The 18861-nt window shown below is 46.6% G+C and overlaps 2 protein-coding genes across 5 annotated transcripts in view, besides 2 other annotated features; both read right to left on the bottom strand.

Moving 5' to 3' along the window:
* The window catches only part of RANBP2 (RAN binding protein 2), a 1122820-nt gene that overhangs the window by 384581 nt on the left and 719378 nt on the right, over window positions 1–18861 (bottom strand). The gene's annotated exons all lie outside the window — the stretch shown is intronic.
* The window catches only part of SH3RF3 (SH3 domain containing ring finger 3), a 375430-nt gene that overhangs the window by 46914 nt on the left and 309655 nt on the right, over window positions 1–18861 (bottom strand). For all 4 annotated transcript variants that reach the window (NM_001099289.3, XM_011511109.3, XM_047444144.1 and 1 more), the window contains one exon: window positions 8232–8551. In NM_001099289.3, the coding sequence (NP_001092759.1) occupies window positions 8232–8551 (320 nt within the window). The remainder of the gene's footprint in view (window positions 1–8231; window positions 8552–18861) is intronic.
* Window positions 8439–8943: an enhancer, noted in NCBI's record as "H3K27ac-H3K4me1 hESC enhancer chr2:110065234-110065738 (GRCh37/hg19 assembly coordinates)". NCBI's record gives its function as "activates a minimal SCP1, AML or CMV promoter by ChIP-STARR-seq in primed H9 embryonic stem cells {active_cell/tissue: H9 hESC(primed)}" and the evidence as "EXISTENCE:reporter gene assay evidence [ECO:0000049][PMID:30033119]".
* Window positions 10423–10922: an enhancer, noted in NCBI's record as "H3K4me1 hESC enhancer chr2:110063255-110063754 (GRCh37/hg19 assembly coordinates)". NCBI's record gives its function as "activates a minimal SCP1, AML or CMV promoter by ChIP-STARR-seq in naive H9 embryonic stem cells {active_cell/tissue: H9 hESC(naive)}" and the evidence as "EXISTENCE:reporter gene assay evidence [ECO:0000049][PMID:30033119]".

The following is an 18861-nucleotide window of genomic DNA, read 5'->3' as shown; positions in this document are numbered from 1 at the left end:
TATATCAGTTGAAAAAGAAGGCAGTCACAGCAGTAGAATTTTGCAGAACAGAATCTAGACTTGATGTGGGAATTGAGTTGTGCCGGGGCTCCCGGCCATGCAGTGTGTGCATCGCTCGCCCCAGCCACACTGTCACACGCATCGCTTGCTTGTTCAGCTCGTGTGGCACTAGAGTGTAGGATTTCACAGTAATCCTGATTAGTTACTCGTTATTAGTCAGTGCCCTTTGGGGAGGGTGGCAGAACCCTCACAACTATTACACATGACTTACAAATCCTTTTCATTTTCTAAAGTGTATTACTATTTTAAAAATGCATTTTGGTTTAATGCTTTGCAGTTGAAACCCTACTTCTGAATAATAGTTTACTTGAGTTCCCTTCATTGTTCATATAACAAAATTAACCCCTCCTTTGATCTTTTAGAGAAGCCTCGGGGATATAAGTTTTACATCTGTATGGATCATTTAATTCTAGGATCCAGACTTCAATTAACTATCAAATTCTTAATAATAATTTCTAATACTTTTGTTCTAAATACTATGTTATGCATTCGTCAAACTAACTAAATTTACTACTCCCAACAACTCAGGGTGGTAGGTGCTATCGTCCCCATTTCACAGATGTGGAAACTGAGGCATGGAAGGTGGAGAAGCTTGCTCGAAGTCACATAATTGGTAAACAGGAGATTGATTCACACTAGGCAGCCGACCCCAGGTCCACCCTCCATGCTGATTAATCCACTGTGTCTTCCTCCTCCAAATTCAAGCTTCACTCGCTGTTGAGATGACTGTGCTCCTTCCCTCGTCCCTGCCACTTTCTGAAGGCTCAGCGGCATGAGCCCTAGGCTATTCTCCCCAGAAGAGAAGCTGACTAGCAGTAGCAGAGAATGGGGAGTGGGCACTTGTGGGTACCATGGAGCCTGGTTTCATTCCCAGTGCCCTACTCGTTGTGTGGCCTTGGGCAGGTCACCTTGCCTCTCTGGACTTCATGTCCACATTTGTACCCTGAAAGGGTCACCAGCACTCACAACCACGCTGAGATCCAGAAGTCTCATCCCAATGCAGAGGCCACGGAGTTTCTACAGGAGAACTGGGGACAGCCAGCTTCACTTGCTGTCCTGGGAGGGCGCAGATAACAAGAGAAGCCTCCAGGCCACCACTGACCTCTGCTCAGACCAGGCTGGGCCACTGCCCTGCCCCACTGAGGGCCTGTGCTCTGACGGGACATTCCTAACTTAGAGAAAGGTTGCCACTCCTGTCACCAGTGAAGCGATGCTCCAGCAGTTTATGCCTTCCAAAAAAGGCTGTCTGGAAAACTTCAAAATGTTTTTTGGCAGCTGGGATTCACGCTTTCAGGATGGGTTCATTTTCAGCCGCACATGCTGGCTCCCCTTATCCCTCGGAAGGCAGCCTGACAATAGGGGAACAGGAAGAGGACCTGGAGTCGCCGGTGCTCCCAGCCACACGGGGCTGACTCTGCGACCCCTTCTGCCCAGCCAACGCCAGTGCCACTAACCAGCAGAGCTGCCAGGCACAAGTGGCCAGGGCAGAGGTGGTTTCCATGGCCCATGGCTGACCATGAGACTCTTCAGTGACTTTGCTGTGCGGCAGACCTGAGGTTCCCAAGCCCCCAGTGGGCCTGGGAGCCCAGCGATGCATCAGACTGTGGCTGCACCTGATGACAGAGCATGGGCCAAGGGGCTCCGTGAGCAGGCTGCAGGGCAGGTCTCCCCTAAGACCTGCATGATGGTTCCCACGTGGGTGAATCAGTTCTGGGTGAGGTCAGATCCAGCCCCTTCTACCTCTCATGCCAGTGTGTGCAGGTGACAGCAGGCCCCTCCCCACCCTGGTTGGTGGGAGCATGCAGCCAGCCTGTGCCAGCAGAGTGTAGCTGTCACTTCGGAAGTGAATGGCACTGGTAAACCTGGAGAAGCTGGGATGAGCGCTGGCAGCAGCTGGCTTCCCCGGCTGCCTGTCGACAGAACTGGGATGGACGAGTAAGGGTCTACCTATTGCAGGGTGCCTCCACTCGAGAGGAAATACATTTATAAGCCAGCGATTCTTCACTTTAGAGAGAGCTGCCTGGCCACTCAAAAGAGCTTCATCCTCAAGATTTCTTCAGATTGGATGTTCCTGGGGTTTCATGAAAAATATAATCACACTCCTATATAATATCATGAGTGTATATGCCATAGTAACACACATATATGAGATATACATATATTTAATGGGTGGGTGCACACATGTGTCCCACAGACTCCACGCCCCAGACCAGGCCTTGCTGCTGTCATTATGGGTCATTCTGTCAGGTCCTCTGTTCCTTTCAGACCAAATTGGGTTTGCAGTCTTGATTATGTCGGTCATCCACATGGACTGGTAAGTGATTCATTGTTGCATGGGTTCTGGCTGTGGCTGGGTCCAATGTGGACCCAGAAGGCAGACACCTAGGGCCCTTTCTCCCCCCAAGGCCAGCCTCATGGTCTCCTGCCAGCCGCTACCCTGGATGTCTCACTGTGGGACTCCTGGACGGGCCATGACCTCCCAGGGACTAGGAGGCCACCACAGTCAGCACTTGGACCCAACACAGGAGGCAGGAGGCCAGCATTCCCATGCCAGCTCCACTGCCGATGCTGTGTGGCCCCAGGCAAGTCTCTGAAGGTCTCTGAGCCTCAGGAACATCATGGAAAATGGAGAGTTTAATATAAAACATCTTTAGAGGCTCTTTCAAGTTTCAATATTCTATTACTCACTGAAACTAAAACTACCACACCCATAAAGAGAGAGTTAACTTTTTTTTTTTCTGGCCCATAAAGAATTTCCCATAAGTCGTGAGAGTGAAAACTTACTGGCAGCAGTTTTTCCAATTCTCTTTAGTCTACAATCATCACCAGGTGCCTTCTATGGGCTGGGGTTGTCGACCTAAGGCTTCGAGATGTTTTTGAATTAAGTTTTATGTCAGGACTCGCACACAGCAACACAGAAGCTCCCCAGTGTACCGTCCCTACTGTATGCTCACCATGAAGATCTATCCTACCCTGTTTCATTCTGTTTATCCCATCCAATCTAAATAAAAATGTGGGTCCCAATCCACTGGATTGATCATTTGAAGAATGCTGCTGTGGAACTCATGGCCAGGCCAGAGCCTTGGGGAACCTCAGCACCAAGGAGAGGGCTCCACAGAAGTCAGGCAGCCGGCGGGAGCGCTCTCACCGTGTGGACTTGGTCAACTGCACAGGGACAGCAAGAGGCTCAGAACCCCGAGGAGGCAAGGAGCACCACTCATGGCCTGTGCTCAAGCCTTCCTGAGGTCAATGGAAAACTATAACCACCCAATCCAGACAGGACTAAAAATGGCCCAGACCCTTCAGGAGTGAAGGTTCGGGTCACCCCACCAGGTAAGGGTCCATGCCCAGCTGAGGCGCTTTCTGAAGGGAAGGGGAATACAGATTGGATAGTAGACAAAGTAATTATAAATACCAGCCACGACCATGTGAACAGCTACAGAAATGAGGATTGTAATTGTTGTAAGTATTTCCTCCTATTTTATTATGAATATGTCTGTGTGAATGTGTATATTAAGCAGTACCTTTGTTTTCTTCTCTCTCTTATCTCACCATGTAATGTAAGTTGCACTGACTTTTATATGATATGATTATTATACGATAGTATTTAAGTTACAGGATATTTAAGTAGTTAAGTTACAGGATGGCACCCTCCTGCCCAGCATCTGCAGATTTTGCAGTGCTGAGCAGTTGGCAACGAGGCCCTCCCAGGGCTGCCTGCTACCTCTCCCGTCCCTGGCCCTCATCTTCGGGCCATGTCCCCTGGCCTCTGCTCAGGCTGACCCTCAGCCAAGGATCCTCCCATCTGTGCCCCGGGAAGTCTCCCCTGACCTGGGCTGACCAGGCGCCTTTGTCGGTGACCCTCTGTTCCCACACGCAGGTCAATCACCCACCCTCTCCTGCAATCAATCGCCTGTTTACCTGTACAGTGACCTGTACTATACTCTGGCTCCTCCAGGCCAGGGTTGACCTTTCCATCATTATGAACCGTGTGCCTGCGCTCTGCCAGGTACATCCTCATGCTCTTTGCAATACACAGATGAGTCAGGGATTGGGGCACAAGTAAGAGAGTGAGTGATGGCCGGTCGGGTGGTTAGGGATGCCAACTGCACGCAGCCCATTGCACCCTTCTCTTCTGGGTGACTCTCCCCTGGACTTAGGTACCCTGAGGGTTCGTATCACCTGGTGCTGATGTGCTCACACAGTTTCAAAACCAGAAAACTGTCACGGATGGACACAATAGGCAGTGTTCCATGGTTGTTTCAAGCACAAAATTCATTTTTAAGTGCAAAAGGATAACTTAAATCCTGAAGACCACCTTTTAAAACCAGATTTGAGTTCTACTGTGTAACTTGTGGGTGTTGGGGGCCTGGCCACAGGGCAGCCCCTGCAGGGAGCAATATGATCAGGCAGGTGGGCAGGAAGAGACCTGGGAGAGTAGGCTGGAGAGGTTCCTGCATAGGCTGGCAGATGCCTGGGCCCAGAGAGGAGCTCTGGTTCAGGAATGGGTCTGGAGAAAGAACTGCCACTCTGTCTGCACTTGTATTATCCCCAGAGGCCTGCACACCACATCGGGCCACGCAGGGAACAGAGCTCAAAGGCCCAATCCCCCTGGATATAGCAGCAGAGCACCAGCCTCCCGGGGACCAGTTTCCCGGGGACCAGCCTCCCGGGAATAGCCTCCCAGGGACCAGCCTCCCAGGGACCAGCCTCCCGGCACCAGCCTCCCGGGACCAGCCTCCTGGCACCAGCCTCCCGGGACCAGCCTCCTGGGACCAGCCTCCTGGCACCAGCCTCCCGGGACCAGCCTCCCAGGGACCAGCCTCCTGGCACCAGCCTCCCAGAACCAGCCTCCCAGCACCAGCCTCCCAGGGACCAGCCTCCTGGGACCAGCCTGCCAGCACCAGCCTCCTGGGGACAAGCCTCCTGGCACAAGCCTCCCGGGAACCAGCCTCCTGGGACCTTGACCATAGCCACTGACACCACACAACACAGAGCTGGTTTTGGGGCTTCTTCCTTCTCCACACACAGGGATATGGCGCGTAAATCTCCCACGCTCCTAGGAGAAAATTACTCCCTACTCTACGGCGCCCAGGAGCTGTATCCACCCTGCCTTCTCTCTGGTACATGCATGGAAGGGCCTGGGTGGAATTTAGCAGCACTAGCGCTAGGAAACTGCGCTGCACTGAGGTATATGCATCAGTGGATGTGGGAGTGAGGAGCTCACTGTCTTTTCCCAAAGAAAATTTAACAGAAACAGACTGGAGAATACTGCCAAATGCTTTAAAAAACCTTTGCCATAATTAGACATGTGTACATCTATGATCAAGTTGCCCAAAGTTAGGAAGCCTGTTTAGTGTAGTCATGGAGGGGTGGGGCTCAGGAAGCGGCCTGCAGGGAGTGTGCTGGCTGCAGCCCCCTAGCCCAGCACAGTCTGCTGGTGCAGGTCACACTGGCTCACTTGCTTCTGAGCAGTGGACTAAAATGACCATCATTTCTGCTCTTCTGCTGCAAATGGCAGCTGTAAATGCCTTGGGCCCTGCTGCAAATTAGGAGAAATTCAAGTGGGAACACAGATGGGCAAAATGTTCACAGGTGGTTTTGTAGACCAGTGCTTGTCTTTGTTGTTTATGAGAGGTGGGAATGAAAAGCACACACAATGTGTGGGAGGGCAATGTGCTTCTCTGCTGGGGTTTGCTGAACCTCTGGACATAAGCTCAGAGGGCCTCACAAAAACCACTTCCCCTCCTGCCTGGAGTGCAGCGTGGACTGCTCCCACAGCATGTGTCCAGCCCCAAGCGTGGCCTACGCACTTCTGCTGCCCACAGAGGCTCGGGAGCTATCAGGGGAGGAGGAGGCTGAGCCACTGTATGTGCAGCTTGCATGGCAGGGCGTCCCTGCATGTCGCCTTTCATCAAGAGGGATGTTGGGGTGTCTTCTGGACTCAACTGTTCTTTGCTGATATAGCACAACTGTTAGAGGGCATAAACCTTAAGAGAAAGCGAAATATTTACAAAGTGTCTAACAGGCAGGCTAGGAACAGACTCAGCTGGTGTTCATTAGCTTCACACTTAGGTGGGTGATGGGGAACAGCATCATCCTCCGTGTAGATTCGTACAGGACGTAATGTCATAGAAACCCACTCAGCAATGGTATTATTGAAGCCAGTCCCATTTGCTTCACAAACTAGAGAGAGGGAATTCTTGGGCAAAGAACTAGAAATGCTTAAGGAACTATTACAGCCCCCACTTTCCAAGTCTGCCCCTGGTTGTTTCTGAGCAGCTCAGAAGAAGGAAGAATGCTTAAGTGAGAGGGTAGGACTGTGAATCCCACCTCTCCCTCCTGATGAGACCCAGCCACATCTCATAACAAGGGCTGCAGGGTAGAAGGGAACAGATTCAAGACTGAACTGATCTTCAAACAGACACACAAAACACAGAGCAGCTGTTGCCCTTCATGCCAGGCGCCCTGTTAGGCTGGAGCAGACCTGAGCTTTGCTAGCTGCATTGGCTCTGCCACACCAGTCAGCACGGGAACAACCATTGCTCTGGACTGAACAACACAGGAGGTGCTGAGGCCCTGCGGAACCTGGTGTGGCCCATGTCTGCAGCGTTCCCGGCTCATGTTGAGGACAGGGGAGCAGGGCCTGCCTCCAGGGTGATGGGCAGAGAGCCCGCCGAGTCAGCGCTGGGTTTGGCAATGTCCTCGAGAAAGAGAGAGAGGCTGTCCTTGCCTGGAACACACCATCTAGTGTCCAGGGTGATCCAAAGACTAATTTTATATGGAAAGATGTCAAAAGATCTGCAGAATCAGTCAAGCCAAGAGAGAACAATCCCTAAACCGTTCAGGCAGCAAGGCCAATACACAGAGTGGCTCCTTGCCCAGCACCCAGCCCAACGCCCTAGGGATACAGCCTCAGGCAGTGCATGGGCCCTGAGCCCTGGAGAATTGCTTATTGGATTTCACATGGGCTTCCAAAAACTTCACGTAAAAAAAAAATACTAAAATATCTCATCAACAATTTTAAAACATAGGTTACATGTTGAAACAATAATATTCTGGATATTGGGTTTAATGGAATAAGCTGTTAAAATGAATTTCACCTTTTAAATTTACTTTAAAATTAATTTTACTTTTTAAAAATGTGGCTACTAGAAAATTTAAAATTAGATTTGAGGTTTGCATTATGTTTCTGCTGGACAGCACTGATTTAGAAGTCTGGATTCTCATCCTGGTTAATCTAACGTCTAGCAGGGTGGCAACCGGAACAAGTTTCTTGGACTCAGATTTTCTTTCTTTTTCTTTTTTTTTTTTTGAGATGCAGTCTTGCTCTGTTGCCCAGGCTGGAGTGCAGTGGCACAATCTTGGCTCACTGCAGGCTCTGCCCCCCGGTTTCCAGTGATTCTCCTGCCTCAGCCTCCTAGGTAGCTGGGATTACAGGCGCACGCCACCATGCCTGGCTAATTTTTGTATTTTTAGTAGAGATGGGGTTTTGCCATGTTGGCCAGGCTGGTTTCAAACTCCTGACCTCAGGTGATCCGCCCGCCTCAGCCTCCCAAAGTGCTGAGATTACAGGCTTGAGCCACCACGCCTGGCCCAGATTTTCTTTTATGAAATCAGCACTTCATGGCTAAAAGAATAGCTAAAAAACACACCAGCCATCAGGTCAGCATTCTCCTGTTCCTTCTCATTGCTCCTCAGGAAACAGGCCTGTCCCATATGGTTGAACAGGTTGTGGACTGCACAAGGATGACATATTGAAGGGAGTGGGTGCTGTTCACACTGCACACGTAGATTTGTATATTTATTATTACAATATCCCAGCACATGGCAATAAATATCCTGTTCTAACAAAATGAGTATATTACAATGATTTTACAACAGATGGAACTAAGGCATTTTCAAGAGGGGACACCTTTTTCTGATTTGCATGAGAAATGTAGCTGGACTTGCATGGCCCTGCCAGCACCCAAGGCCTGCCTGATTCCTCTCCAACCAGCTGCTCTGGTGGTTTGGCTCCCTCTCTGTCACACGCCTGGTTCATCTAGGGGCAGGCACTTGGAGCCCACATTCTAGCTTCAATTGCACAAATGCCACTGCCATCTAGTGCCAAAAAGTTACAGTAAGCAGCTGGCCTCGAGCCCAGGGCTCGTCCAGGATGGGCCTCTTACCTTTTCACTTTTCTTCTCGTCTAGTTTGCATCCCGTGTTGGTGGGGCTGGATGTGGACAGAACACCGATGGGCCCCCCTCCAGCCTCCCCGTTGAGGTTTGCGGCACTGACGTTGGGAGGTGTGATGGCTGATGCTGCTGATGTGAGGGGGATGGCCGGCCGTGGGCACATCTGCACCGGGGGCTGGTGGCTGTGCTGCGGGGACACCACCGAGTGGGGCCTGAGGCTGGTGGCAGGCAGGCGGGATGGAGAGTTCTGGGTGCGCAGGGGTGACACGGTGGCAGTTGGCCGGTCCTGAGCCTGGGCTGCAGAGTGGGCAGCTGGAGACGGGGTTGGAGAGACAGCAGGTTGAAAGGTTAGTTTGCAACTTGCCATGCCTGCCAGGCAGCTGCAATGCACACTCAGGCTCCCTTCTCGAGCACTCACAGCCTCTCTCTGAAGTTTCTCCAGACAGACCTGGCCTCTTCACAGATGGAGAAACAGGCCAAGAAACCCTGAAAATGCATTCCTATCTTCCAAAGCCCAAGGGATCAGGGGGCCCTGCCACGGCTCAAAACACCCCTTTCCTCAGGTGGAGCTAAAACAGCTTTGCCAAGGTTGCCATGAACATGGGCACATTCCCAGTTCTATGAAGTCCTTTAACTCAGCGGTCCCCAACCATTTTGGCACCAAGGACCCGTTTTGTGGAAGACAATTTTTCCACAGACTGAGGCAGGGGATGGTTTCGGGATGATTCAAGTGCATTACATTTGTTATGTACTTTATTTCTATTATTACTACATTGTAATATATAGTGAAATAAGTATACAACTCACCATAACATAGAATCAGTAGGACCCCTGAGCTTATTTTCCTGCAACTAGACAGGCCCATCTAGAGATGATGGGAGACAGTGACAGATCATCAGCCATTAGATTCTCATAAGGAGCGTGCAACCTAGATCCCAAGTAAGTGGAGTAAGGTTTGCTCTCCTATGAGAACCTAATGCCGCTGCTAATGTGATGGGTGGTGGAGCTCAGGTGGTAATGCAAGCGTTGAGGAGGGGCTGTAAATACAGATGAAGTTTTCCTTGCTCACCCACCACTCACAACCTGCTGTGCAGCCCAGTTCCTAACAGACCATGGACCGGAATTGGTCTGTGGCTTGGAGGCTGGGGACTCCTGCTCTAAATAATTTTCTCTGCTGTGATGAGCTGAAGCACTCAGAAAAATTTTGAAAATATGGTTTTGAAATATGGTTGTAAAATGCTCATAAACATAAAGCCTGTGAAAGCATCTCAGTGAAGCCTCAAGATGTCCCCTGAATTATTAAGCACCACTGCATGCAAGCCGACCAAGCTTGACTCTAGTTACTCTTGATCCCGAACTGGCCTGGCTGGTCCTTGGTTTCCACACTGGGTATGTCACTCAGCAAGAGTGAGGGCTGAGCATGTGAGAGCTGCCTTGGCTGGGGACAATTGCAGGAAGAAAGCAGCAGACGTTTCTCCCAGCAGCAGCCTGGAGGAGAAGCCGCCCACCACCCTGCTGCCATCTGCCTGCATTTGCTGCTCTGCCTGCATGTCGAAGCACCGGGCTTCCAGGTTTACAAAACTGGAACCTTACAACTGTGGATCCACCACCTTGCTGCCAGCAAAAACAATTCTTAAAGATGTTAGGGATTGCAAGTTGTAACATTTGCAAAAATCTCCCATATGAAAAGATACAGCTCCCTTTAAACACAGCACCACATTAATAGTAATCCTGCTACTATGTGTGTTAGTAATTTCAGGGAATTATCTCCTTAATAAATATGGATGAAACAAATGCTGGGAGAGAATGAACGGCCCCAGGGGAATGGTGACTTGTGTCCTGGGTTGTTCTGGCCCAAGTGGAGACCTGGGCTGAGCATCAGACACTGCTTTATACCAAGTGGCCCGGGCAGCACCACGCAGCTCACATCCAGCTGCTGTGCATTCTTAAGGCAGAGAAAAATTATGTCATACTGTAATCATTTTCTACCAGCAGACTTTGTGGCATTCATGGCTTCAGAGCATGAAAGAAAATACATGCAATAAAAACAATCTTCTCAGCCCCCAACTATGCACTCGTTAATCCTAACAGCGTTTGGAGGCCACGGGAAGTAGCACCGTGAGACATACAAAGCTCTCCATCTGGGAGTCAGGCCTTCTTCTGACACAGCCGTGTGTGAAGCGCTGGTGAGATCTAATTATGTGATCCCAGATTCTCCGGGACTTAGGCAGCCTGCTGTTTCTACGAGGTGAAATACAGAAAGGCTGATTTATGTGGGTTTTTTTTTTCTGTTTTCTTTTTCTTTTTCTTTTCTTTTTTTTTTTTTTTTTTTTTAAATATTCAGGGCTTCAGCTGGGTTGGAAACTTGAAACATTTGATCCTAACCCAACACAGCTCCACATTTACAAGGAGAGCAGGTCAGGCAATCACGCAGATCCAGGGGCCTCGGGTCATTTAATCACCCTGGAAACCCTGACTCAGAGGCCGCTCCTCGAGATTTATTCGTCTCTCCCCTCAGCTGTCTGACTCCCCTTCTCTCGGTCCAGGGTCCCTGGAAGGGGGGTGACAGCCTGCCAGGGAAGCGCTGTGGCCCTCGGCGTTGGGACTGCACCAGGGTCTGTGCCCCTGGGCTGTGCGTGGCTGGCCTCTACCTCCTGGCCGGCTTCCCCTCGCCTGCCGCACTACTTTGCTCATCCCAGGCACCAAAGAAGAGAGGGAGTGTGTTCCAGCAAGCTCCAACCTCACCTCCTAATACTCTCCCCTCAGCCACACTGGCCTCCTGGCCACTCTGCCAATAGGACTGGCTCCTGGTCACCTCAGAGGCACAGTGCCAGCACCCCTGCCCATAGACCTCACCTCCCTCATAGCTGCAAGGTGGGACCCTCGGGTGCCTGGAAGGCTCAGATACCACCTTCTAGAGACCTGCCTACCACCTTCACGGTGCTGCCTGACCCTGCAGCCTCAGCCTCCCCTGCTCCTGCTCTAGCTCCAGCTTTCCTTTGCTCCCAAGGCTCTTAGCTCCTCACAGTTGTGTAATTTACATGTTCGCTGGAGGCTGATTATTCATTGCCTGTCCCCACTGTGCAACGGAGCTCCATGAGGTGGGGACATGGCTGCTTAATTCACGATAACGCCCGCAATGGTCCCTGGCATGTAGAAGGTGCTCTGTACATTTTTTGAATAAAAGAGTGAGTCTCTGAGGAAAAAAGAACCCCAGCCATGTCACTTCCGATTTCACAGAATGGAACCACTGGAGAAGAAAAACTGTAGCGTGAGAAAGCAAGGCACAGCTCAGGTCATGACACTGGCTGGTGAAGAGTGTGCTCATCTCTGGTAGGATTTACCCTTATTTTCACCCACCCCGGGTGCCCCAACCCCGAGCTGGCTGGGACTACTCGTTAGTGATGCCAAAGTAGCCCACATCTTCTTTGAAGTCAAGCTGACAGATGAAGGCTGCTTAGGAAAGCACCACCCATGGTCCCTGCTTTTCCCTTTCCTCTCTTCTTTAAACTTTTGGTGTGTTTCAGTCCCGCTGCAGCTTCCAAGGACTGTGAGCCCTCACTCAGTTCATTCTATGTCCCTAGTATCTGTAGGTGCTTTATAAATGATAGGGGAATGAATAAATGATCTATTGCATCACCAGCTTTGTCCTTTCCTTATTTTCAGGGGTATCGCTTCCCACTTCAGGGATGAAATGGAACTCCCACAACTCCAAGCCAACCCCCCTCTCTACTTCCCCACACCCCTCCCTTCCAGTCACAAGGACTCTGGGTCCCACCAGGTCAACGCCTTCACCCACATCCTTGATACCTTCTCTGGCTCATCCCTTCTCTCATATATTTAGCCTCTTTATTAGCTTTCCCCCATAATTTATTAACCAGTTGTCTCTCCCATTTAATAAATAATCTTCCTTCTATACCTTGTCCTCTTTTAGCTAGTACCTCCTTTTCCCATTTTTCTTTACACTTAATATTTTTGAAATAGTGTGTACACTGGCTCTTTCTTATATTTTTATTCATTTCTATGTAAGTAATCTGTATCTGCCCTCTGGCAGGTTTTGTAGTATTTTCCTTATCCTTTGATGCTTTAAGTTTAAGTTCAGCATGTTTAGGCTTGGATTTTTGGTTATTTTTCCTACTCAGCACTCTTTGTGCTTTCTGTGTGAGGACTTGAGCCCCTCTTCAATTTTGGAGAATTCTCAGGGACTACTCCTTTGAATCTTCTCTCTGTCCCATCTCTTCTATTTTCTAGTTATGAAAATCCTGTTAGAAGTAGTTTGGAGCTCCTCAATCTATCCTCCATGTTTATACATCTCTTTCACATTTTTCATCTCTGCTCTGTATTCTGGATAAATTCCTCTGTATGGCTTTCCAATTTCACTAATTCCACTTTCAACTGTGTCTAGAGTTTATGCTACCTACAGAGGTTTTGTATTTAAATATATATTTTTCCTCTCCAAAATTTCAAATTGGTTCTTTTTCATATCCAGTTGTTTCTGATTCATAGCCATCCACCTATTTTTTCATAGCTTCCTGTTTTTCTTTTTTGTGTGTGTATATGTTATTCCTTCTTTTCCTCTTAGATCTTAAACATACTGATTTCAAAGATGCTCTCAGATTTCTCCCTTATTTTCCTCCTATCTCTTGAGTTTATTGGCTAACTTATGTGTGAGTTTCCCTTTTGTGTTTTGAAATCTTAATGTGCCAGCTCACCCTGAGCTTGCGGCTCTTTGTCTACTTTTCTGGGTCTGGCAGTTCTGTTGTTAGTGCTGCTTGGCCTCTAGGACCCTCCCTTAGAACTAGGTTTAATGGGCTTCTTGGAGTTCTGGTCCTGCAGAGAGGGTGCTGAGCTAGTCCTAGTCCTCAGGCCAGAGCCATCCTCAAACTCAGCACCATGACCAGGGTTGGGGCTCTCTCTTCTTTCTCTCACACCCCAGGTGGAGGCTTAGTATGGCCCATCCCCTGGAAAATGATGGAATTTTTAGAACTGGCACACCTAGCTCTGGTCCCCTGATTCTCACAGGGGCTTCCTGTCCATATTCTCCTGCAGGAGTTGAAAGTCACCCAACAAGGCCTGCTTTTTATCCTACAGCCAGTAGGCCAGTGCTTCAGCACTTGGCTATTGTGTGTTCCATTTTATATAGACCCACAGAGTTGACTTTTTAAATATTAAAAACAAACATCTTTACAACAACATCACATAAACTTAATTACTGTATTTTTTAAGAAGTCTCTAAATCAGTGTTAGCTTCCCAAGTTCACTGTTCTTTTTCATTTCATTCAGCTCAAAATGCGTTATAATATCCCTTTTGATTTGTTCTTTAATATATGGGTTATTTTGAAGTAAACTGTTTAGTTTTCAAATATTTGAGTATATCAAATATTTGTTATTATTTGTATTAATGAATTCTAATTCAATGCCACTGTGGTCAGGGAATGTAGTTTCCATGACTTGAATCCCTTTAAATGTGCTGAAACTTAAAAATATCATGGCCCAGTACATAATCTATCTCAGTAAATGTTCTGTGTGCACTTGAAAAGAAGGTGCATTTTGCTGTTGTTGGGTAGAATGTTTCACAAACGTCAACTAAGTCAAGTTGATTATACTGTTGTTCTAATGTTTTAAATTTTTACCATTTTATATCTAACTGTTCTATCAATTATTGAGACATGAAAGTCTCTGACCATAATTGTAGATTTGTTTATTTCTCCTTGTACCTTTATCCATATTGCTTATGTATTTTGAAGTTCTGTTACTTGGTGTATAAATATTTAGAACTGTTATGTCCTCTAAATGAACTGACCCCTTTATTGTTACGAAATTGCCTTTTTATCTCTAATAATTTTTATAAATTCTGCTCTATCTGATTAAGATAACCACTCCAGCTTTCTTTTGATTAATATTAGCATCATATAATCTATTCTCATTATTGGCAGATTCTGTATTTGCAAATTCTTCTACTAGTGAAAAACGATTTGTAACCCCCAAGTCATTATCTGTGGTGCTTTCAGTTATTTTCAGACATTCATGGAATGGCAAAAATTTGAGTTGCCTGACACTCATATTCCCAGCTGAGGTTGAACAAGGCGATTTTTGTTTCAGCGTCACACAGAGATGACAGGAGGATAGAGCCGATAGGGGGCAACACAGTACAATGCAGAAAGTTTTGGCTCTGAGGCCAGTTGGACAGTATTTGAATCCCAGCTCTGGCACCTGTTAATAGGGCAGCCTCAGGTCAGCCACTTAATCCTTCTGAACCTCATTTTCTCTTTTGTCAAATAAATAAAATAGAATCTACTAGAATAAGATGATAATTTATGTGAGATATGTGTACACACCCATGCACGCATGCCACACACAATTTCACCTAGAAGCAATAGTTCAGTATTCACAAATTCAGTGTTCATGATAACTTCATAGAATGTAACTACCATGAATAATGAGAATGTGTATAACTTGTTCCATCCCTTCACTTTTAGCTTATTTATGTCTTTAGACTTGAAGTATTAAAGTATGTTTCTTACTCACAGCATATCGTTGGTTTTTTGTTTGTTTTTAGTAATATGTGACAATCTCTGAATTATATTTAGGGTTATTTAGGCCATTTACATTTAGTGTGATTACTTACATGATTAGGTTTAAACCTACCATCCTACTATATGTTTTCTCTTTGACCCATGTATTGTTTCTTTTCCCTTCTGTTAATGCTTTCTTTTGGATGTTTTCATGATTCCTTTTTATTCCCTTTTAGCTTATTTGCTGTAACTTTTTGTTTCATATTTAGTGACTGCTTACATCTTTATTTTATTATAGTCATTTACAAATGATTTCATAACATAAAGATTCATAGTATAAGAATGTTACAGTAGTATACCAAACTTCCACTTCTCCCTTCCCAAACTTTGTGTTTTTGTTTATTGTACATTTTGCTTTTGAGTTTTAAATCCCAAACTAGATTGCTTTCACTTTTGTTTAAACAGTCAATTATATTTTAAAGATATTCAAATAATAAGAAAACATCTTATATATTTATCTATGTAGTTACCATTTCCAGTGCTTTTCATTCCTTTGTATAGATCTTCATTTTCATCTGGTATCATCTGCCTTCTTTCTAAATAATTTCATTTTTACCTTTCTAATAGTGTGGATTTTTTCTTTTTTTTTTTTTTTTGAGGTGGAGTCTCACTCCGTTGCCCAGGCTGGAGTGCAGTGGCACGATCTCGGCTCACTGTAAGCTCTGCCTCCCAGGTTCATGTCATTCACCTGCCTCAGCCTCCTGAGCAGCTGGGACTACAGGCGCCCGCCAACACGCCTGGCTAATTTTTTGTGTTTTTAGTAGAGACGGGGTTTCACTGTGTTAGCCAGGATGGTCTCAATCTCCTGACCTCGTGATCCACCCGTCTCAGCCTCCCAAAGTGCTGGGATTACAGGCGTGAGCCACTGTGCCTGGCCAATAGTGTGGATTTATTAGAGACAAAATCTTTTAGTTTTACTATTTCTGAATAATTCTTTATTTTGCTTTTTTTTTGAAAGATATTTTTGCTGGGAGTAGAGTACTAGATTGACAGCTATATTTCTTTCAGTATGTTTTTTGGTTATTCTGTCATCTCACTTGAACTGTTCTTGACATCATCCTTACCCTTATCTTTTTTTCTATTTCATGTAATGTATCTTTTTGTCCTCTGGCTGTTTTCAGTGTTTTCTTTATGAGAGATTTTGAACAGTTTGATTGTGATTTGCCTTGTTACAGTTTTCTTCATGTTTCTTGTGCTTGGTGTTCACCAACTGTCTTTGAAACTGTGTTTGTGGTTTTCATCAAATTTGGAACAATTTTGGTCATTATTTCTTCAAATCATTTTTCTGTCCTACCTCTCTCCTCTACATTGGAGACCTCCAATTACACGTATATTAGGCCACTTAAAGTTGTCCCATTGCTCACGGATTCCATTCATTTTTCAAAATTGTCTTTTATCTCTGTGTTCCACTTTCCACGGCTTCTATTACTATATCTTCAAGTTTACAAATATTTTTTCTTCAGCAATGTTTAATCTGCCATTAATTCCATCTAGTATATTCTTGATCTCACACACTGTAGTTTTTATTTCTAGAAGTGTGATTTGGGTCTATTATGTCTCTACTTAACTTTCTGAGTATGTGAAAGGCAACTGTAATATCATTTTTAAATGTCTTTGCAACATCTATGTCAATTTGGGGTCAGTTTTGATTGATTGACTGATCCCTTCATTATAAGTCATATTTTCCTGCTCCTTTGCATGCCTCATAATTTTTTATTGGACATCAGACATTGTGATTTTTATGTTGTTGAGAGCTGGAATTTTTTTTTTTTTTGTATTCCTATAAATATTCTTAAGCTTTGTTCTGGGACAAAGATAAATTAATCAGAAATAGTTTGACTCTTGAGTGTTGTTTTTGAGCTCTGTTGGGTGAAATTGGAACAGTGCTCAGTCTGACCACTACAGAGGCAAGGTCCTGTGTAGATTACTCAATGCCTGGTGATTTCTGCAATTTTTCCGTCTGGCTGGTGGGAACAGGCACTATTTCCAGCTGGTGTGTATTCTGGGCACTGTTAGCACTAATCCTTTCTTTCTTTGATTCTTTTCCTGGCTTTGGGTACGTTTCTCATGTTCATATGCAGATGAGTTGTCACCTGAAGATCTCAGGGCGTGCTCTGCAGCCTCTCTGTGCTGTTCTCTCCTCTCTGGTCACTGCCCTGGAAACTCAAGCCCTCTCTGTCACACAAACTCTGATCTCCACATCCTCGGGGCTCCTCCACCTGGTTACCTGCCTCCTTTTGCCACTGCCTGCAACTTCTCTCATGAATCAGTCCTTGGTTGTCTGGTGTCTTGAAAACTGTTGTTTTATATACTTGGCTTTTTAAATTTGTTTCATGTGGGAGAGTAATTCCTGTCCTCATCACTTCAGATTGGCCATAAGCAGAAGTCTAGCTCAATCTTTTAAATACAAAAATATGACTATGTCTATTATTCAACACCCTTTGATGTGCCCCCTTAGGATAAACATCTAAATTCCTTACGTGGTCTAGAAGAACCTCCATGCTCTGCTCTGCTTAGCTTTTCGGCTTCACTGCGGGTCTTTCTTTGCTCCCGCACCCTATCCGTATTCCAGCGTCCATGGGCCCCTGGCCTCGGCGGCCCAAGAGCTCCCCATGCTTCCCCTTCCTGAGTGCTTCCCACACTCTCCTACTGCTGCATGCTGAGCTCTACCCACCTTTCAGATTTAAAGGACAGTATGCCTCTGCAGGGAACTGTCATCTACACACTGGACTTCTCCTTCTTCCATAGCTTTGCTTCAGTCATGTCACAACTAAATAAAGTTCCCCAAAACAAGAGTTATGCTATTCCTCATTGCCAGGCCATTGCTCATGCTGGTTCCTCTGCTCTGAACCTCCTTTCTCTTTTGTCTGCTCAGACACTTCCTATTTGTCCTTTAAGATTCAAGGCATTATCACCTCCTCTTGAAAACTTTCCATATGCCCTACTCCCAATCCCCCTCCTATTTTCCTCCCCAGTCGGAATGAATTCCCTCCTCCACACTCTCTTAATACCTAAGCAGGCCTCTTTTGCAGCCCTTTAGCAAACCCACCACAGAACTTTGTTTTCTAGTCATTCTCTCTAACCGGGGTGGAAATGGGGCTTGTCTGGTTTTCCTCTGTTTCCAGACCCCTGCAGGGTGCCTTGCCTGTATCTAGCTCCTTCTCGGTGCTTTTTTGCTGATGAATTCATGGCTATGCTGGGCTCTTACTCCTGCTAAGCACAGACAGGAGTGTGCAAGGAACACTGGCACTTTACAGGGGGTGCTCTGCCTTTGGGAAAGGAGTTACATTAATCAAGTAGAACAAATCATATTGGATGCTATGGCCAATGCAATTAAGCCTTTGTCAAACTGCCTGACTTTGGCTCGAGATGAGAACATTGATGAAATGCCTCCCACCCATCGGGGTTGGGGTCTGCTGAAATGGGCAATTACTGCAGGGAACAATCCATTACTTGGACTGTCAACAGTGTTTTTTCTCTCTCTAAATGCAGAATGAAGTGGAAAATGCCGCAGGAACTCAGTGGCATTTAATTTACTGATATGGCTCAGTAGGAGTCATTCTTTAACCTGGCTGTGACAGCAATAGCGTGGGGACAAGTGCTGGGCTGGGATGCACTGGGGAGCCGTTTAACCATCCCGTGCCTCACTCTCCCCGTGTGTAACATTAAACTGATGGAAGAGAATGCTCGTGGCACCCTCATGGTTACTATGGTGATGGAGGACTGAGACACAATGTTGCACTGCCCCACAGCCTTGCCAATTTCTTTTGATCCTGCTTGTTATTCCACAGAGGGAGAAGTGACTGGCAGGGCTCCATTTCTTCTTTGAATTGGGAACGTTTCTAGCAAGGCTTGGTGTGGAAAGACCATTATACTGGCTATTCTGGGCAGACAACCCAGGGCCACTGCACTGGGATGCTGACTCACCGTGATGAGTGGGGCCACTCACCCTTTCTAGTGCTGGTGCATGTGGAAACATTTGTACAGAACACCGGGCTGATTGGATGAGATGTTTATAACCAGAAGGGACCTGGCCTGGGACTTTTG

The sequence above is a fragment of the Homo sapiens genome, chromosome 2 (genome assembly GCF_000001405.40).
Source record: "Homo sapiens chromosome 2, GRCh38.p14 Primary Assembly".
Taxonomy (NCBI): domain Eukaryota; kingdom Metazoa; phylum Chordata; class Mammalia; order Primates; family Hominidae; genus Homo; species Homo sapiens.
Note: the sequence above shows the minus strand (reverse complement) of the source record. Positions and strands in the feature narration are given on the sequence as shown.